Raw genomic sequence first — 4,669 nt, forward strand, 5'->3', positions numbered from 1 at the left:
AATACAGCACACTGATGGGTCTTGACTCTTTATCCAATTTGCCAGTCTGTGTCTTTTAATTGGAGCATTTAGTCCATTGACATTTAAAGTTAGTATTCTTATGTGTGAATTTGATCCTGTCATTATGATGTTAATTGGTTATTTTGCTTGTTAGTTGATGCAGTTTCTTCCTAGTCTCGATGGTCTTTACACTTTGGCATGATTTTGCAGCAGCTGGTACTGGTTGTTCCTTTCCATGTTTAGTGCTTCCTTCAGGAGGTCTTGTAAGGCAGGCCTGGTGGTGACAAAATCTCTCAGCATTTGCTTGTCTGTAAAGTATTTTATTTCTCCTTCACTTATGAAGCTTAGTTTGGCTGGATATGAAATTCTAGGTTGAAAATTCTTTTCTTCAAGAATGTTGAATATTGGCCCCCACTCTCTTCTGGCTTGTAGGGTTTCTGCCGAGAGGTCTGCTGTTAGTCTGATGGGCTTCCCTTTGTGGGTAGCCTGACCTTTCTCTCTGGCTGCCCTTAACATTTTTTCCTTCATTTCAGCTTTGGTGAATCTGACAATTATGTGTCTTGGAGTTGCTCTTCTCGAGGAGTATCTTTGTGGCGTTCTCTGTATTTCCTGAATCTGAATGTTGGCCTGCCTTGCTAGATTGGGGAAGTTCTCCTGGATAATATCCTGCAGAGTGTTTTCCAACTTGATTCCATTCTCCCCATCACTTTCAGGTAAACCAATCAGACGTATATTTGGTCTTTTCACATAGTCCCGTATTTCTTGGAGGCTTTGCTTATTTCTTTTTATTCTTTTTTCTCTAAACTTCCCTTCTCGCTTCATTTCATTCATTTCATCTTCCATTGCTGATACCCTTTCTTCCAGTTGATCGCATCGGCTCCTGAGGCTTCTGCATTCTTCACGTAGTTCTCGCACCTTGGTTTTCAGCTCCATCAGCTCCTTAAACACTTCTCTGTATTGGTTATTCTAGTTATACATTCTTCTAAATTTTTTTCAATGTTTTCAACTTCTTTGCCTTTGGTTTGAATGTCCTCCCGTAGCTCAGAGTAATTTGATCGTCTGAAGCCTTCTCTCAGCTCGTCAAAGTCATTCTCCATCCAGCTTTGTTCCATTGCTGGTGAGGAACTGCGTTCCTTTGGAGGAGGAGGGGTGCTCTGCTTTTTAGAGTTTCCAGTTTTTCTGTTCTGTTTTTTCCCCATCTTTGTGGTTTTATCTACTTTTGGTCTTTGATGATGGTAATGTACAGATGGGTTTTTGGTGTGGATGTCCTTTCTGTTTGTTAGTTTTCCTTCTAACAGAGAGGACCCTCAGCTGCAGGTCTGTTGGAATACCCTGCTGTGTGAGGTGTCAGTTTGTCCCTGCTGGGGGGTGCCTCCCATTTAGGCTGCTCGGGGGTCAGGGGTCAGGGACCCACTTGAGGAGGCAGTCTGCCTATTCTCAGATCTCCAGCTGCGTGCTGGGAGAGCCACTGCTCTCTTCAAAGCTGTCAGACAGGGATATTTAAGTCTGCAGAGGTTACTGCTGTCTTTTTGTTTGTCTGTGCCCTGCCCCCAGAGGTGGAGCCTACAGAGGCAAGCAGGCCTCCTTGAGCTGTGGTGGGCTCCACCCAGTTCGAGCTTCCCGGCTGCTTTGTTTACCTAATCAAGCCTGGGCAATGGCGGGTGCCCCTCCCCCAGCCTCGCTGCCGCCTTGCAGTTTGATCTCAGACTGCTGTGCTAGCAATCAACGAGACTCTGTGGGCGTAGGACCCTCCGAGCCAGGTGTGGGATATAATCTCGTGGAGCGCCATTTTTTAAGCCAGTCGGAAAAGCGCAGTATTCGGGTGGGAGTGACCCGATTTTCCAGGTGCCATCCGTCACCCCTTTCTTTGACTCAGAAAGGGAACTCCCTGACCCCTTGCGCTTCCCAAGTGAGGCAATGCCTCACCCTGCTTCGGCTCGCGCATGGTGCGCGCACCCACTGACCTGCGCCCACTGTCTGGCACTCCCTAGTGAGATGAACCCCGTACCTCAGATGGAAATGCAGAAATCACCGTCTTCTGCGTCGCCCACGCTGGAAGCTGTAGACCGGAACTGTTCCTATTCGGCCATCTTGGCTCCTCCTCGCAGGTATCTTTTTGATATAGTGAATTCTTTTCCTTTGGGTAGATACCCGGTAGTGGGATGTTGAATTGAATGGTAGATCTACTTTTAGTTCTTTGAGAAATCTCCATACTGTTTTTCATATAAAATAATTGTTAATGTTTAAAAGAGTGATAATTTTTTAAATAAAAAGAATCCTTTTCTTTTAGACATACACTGAAATATTTATGAATTAAATGGAATGTTTAGTACTTGCTCTTCATTGGAGAGTATCTTGCCCCATTGACCCTCCAGGATTGTTTAGAATTTGTGGTGATATCTGAACAGCTCAGGCAAGCTTTAGGGTAACATATTCATAAAGATTGTACTTCTTGGAGAAAATGAAAATGAATATGCTTAATGGATCATTCTGCCATCTCTTTATCATCCATTAACTTTTCATTATCTACCTCTAGCAGAGAAATAGGCATTGCTTGTTCATTGCTTCCCTGAAATTAGATTAAAATGTCTCACTTGTTTTTAGGTTTTCCACAATTTCAGCATGGTCTTGGCTTTAGTCTTTTGAGAGCTATCTTCAGATTTTATGTCACTTCTGTATCATTTGTGTTAAAAACTTTGAGATCATAATATTTTTCTCTCCTTTCTCAATACATTTTAAATTTGCTGTTTGACTATGTCTAGTATTTCTTCTGCTATTAGAAGAGGTAATTTCCTATTTAAATTTCTATCCTGCTCATATTACAAACTAGTCCAAAATAACATGTTAAAATAGCAGTTAAATATGTTTCTTCAGGCTTGTGCATGAGGATATTATCAGAAAGGGAAGCATGAGGATATTATCAGAAAGGGAAGAAGTGATGACCAAAAAATAAAAATAAAAGAGGGAGAGAAGACTAGAATATATCTAAGGCAGTTTTTTCAAAAGCAAGATTTGAGTTCTAGCAGATATTCAGATAATCGAAACTCCTTATCACTACCATCTCTTGCCTGTGCTGAATTTGTCACCTGTGTTAGGGATGATTCATTCCTGTTTTCTACGTGGAAATCTGAATCTGTAATAACATTATTTCTTTCTTTCTTTCTTTCCTTCTTTCTTTTCTTCTTTCTTTCTTTCTTTCTTTCTTTCTTTCTTTCTTTCTTTCTTTCTTTCTTTCTTTCTTCTTTCTCATCTAAATGCTCTCCACTAGATTGGCACAGTAAGGCTTATGAATCAATAAGTTTTATTCTTGTATCATATCTATGTAGCCACTGTTGAGTTTTTATTTCCAAAATCATGATCTTTAATAGAAGCAGAAGGAGAAATACTACGTGTGCCCTCAAACCACCTAAGTTTCCTAAGTAGTGCTTCAAGGTTGCTCTAGTTAAATTCTGACTATGTTGTTTCTCACAGTGAATCAGCAGAAACAAGTCCACATCCAATATGGTTATATGTTTTGCCTGACTCACTTCAGAGCAATTACTTCTCTATCAAAGTTTTGAAAATAATTATTGTCATCTTCATGATAAGTCTTATTCAGTAATATCTCAATAATCTAACTAATGGGAGTCACTTAGTTTCTTTTGTCAAAATTTTGAGTTATTTTTAGTAAGATTTTAATAGTGCTTAGTCCATATACTGCTATGTAGTGGTACCATACCTTAGTAGAAGTAGAAAGAACATCAGAAAGGGTGTCAAAAATAAATCTTAACATAATGGCAGTAGAGTTTGTCGGGAGTGTGACTTACTAGTATGCCCTAAAGTTTTCTAATGCTGTAAGGGAGAAATGATGATACCTGAGATTTTTGTAATACATGTAAAAGTACTTCACGAACATTTCATGTACACATGCAACTATAAGTTAGTGTGATTGATATATCAACCCTTGAGTCCCTGTTTTTATTTTCATTGATGTTCTTTTCTCTTGTTTCCTTCTGTATATGATTAGACATCATCTTTGTTAGTTTCTTTCTATATCATACTTCTGTCTTAGAGGCAGTATACTGAGACAGAGTTTTAAAACCCCAGGTCTTCTTTTTTTTTCCTGTAATTTATTGATTTGTTGCTTATTTGTAAAGTTAGGATAATAATACTGATCTCATGAACTTGTTGTGAGGGTTAGATAGAAACATGATAGAGAAATCAAGAGTTCTTGTGTTGAATTTTTTCCCAAACCCGAATATCCAACTATGTAGTAGATGGTCCCTCATTGATTTTCACTATTTCTTCTAACTCAAGTTTTTAAAGATTGAAGGAATTTTCTCATACAAATATCCTCCTGTGTTCTCTATCTTAGTCAGTAACTGTATGATGTGTCAACTAGCCCAAGTATCTGGGACTAATCTCTTTTATTCCATCAACAATTAAGTTTTACTGAATTGACCATGTATAATTTTAAAGCTTGTGGCTCTCTATTCCAATTTTCACTACATTAGTTCAGGCACTTGTGCTTTTATACCTGGGTTATTGCAATGGCCTTCTAACTCTCCTTTTGGCATATAGAATTCTCTGTCCTGTGTCCAGCTCATTGTCCTCCTTGGTGTTGGTAGGTGTTTTTTACAATGCATATCTAATCACCTATCTAATCCCTTGAAATATTAAACAGCAATGG

General features: G+C 39.3%; 1 annotated feature.

The window, feature by feature from the left end:
- Nucleotides 1,289-2,488: an enhancer, noted in NCBI's record as "BRD4-independent group 4 enhancer chr4:104176632-104177831 (GRCh37/hg19 assembly coordinates)". NCBI's record gives its function as "activates an origin of replication core promoter dependent on BRD2, P300/CBP, MED14 and CDK7 cofactors, and independent of BRD4, by STARR-seq in HCT116 cells {active_cell/tissue: HCT116}" and the evidence as "EXISTENCE:reporter gene assay evidence [ECO:0000049][PMID:35650434]".

Source organism: Homo sapiens, chromosome 4 (assembly GCF_000001405.40).
Source record: "Homo sapiens chromosome 4, GRCh38.p14 Primary Assembly".
Lineage (NCBI taxonomy): Eukaryota > Metazoa > Chordata > Mammalia > Primates > Hominidae > Homo > Homo sapiens.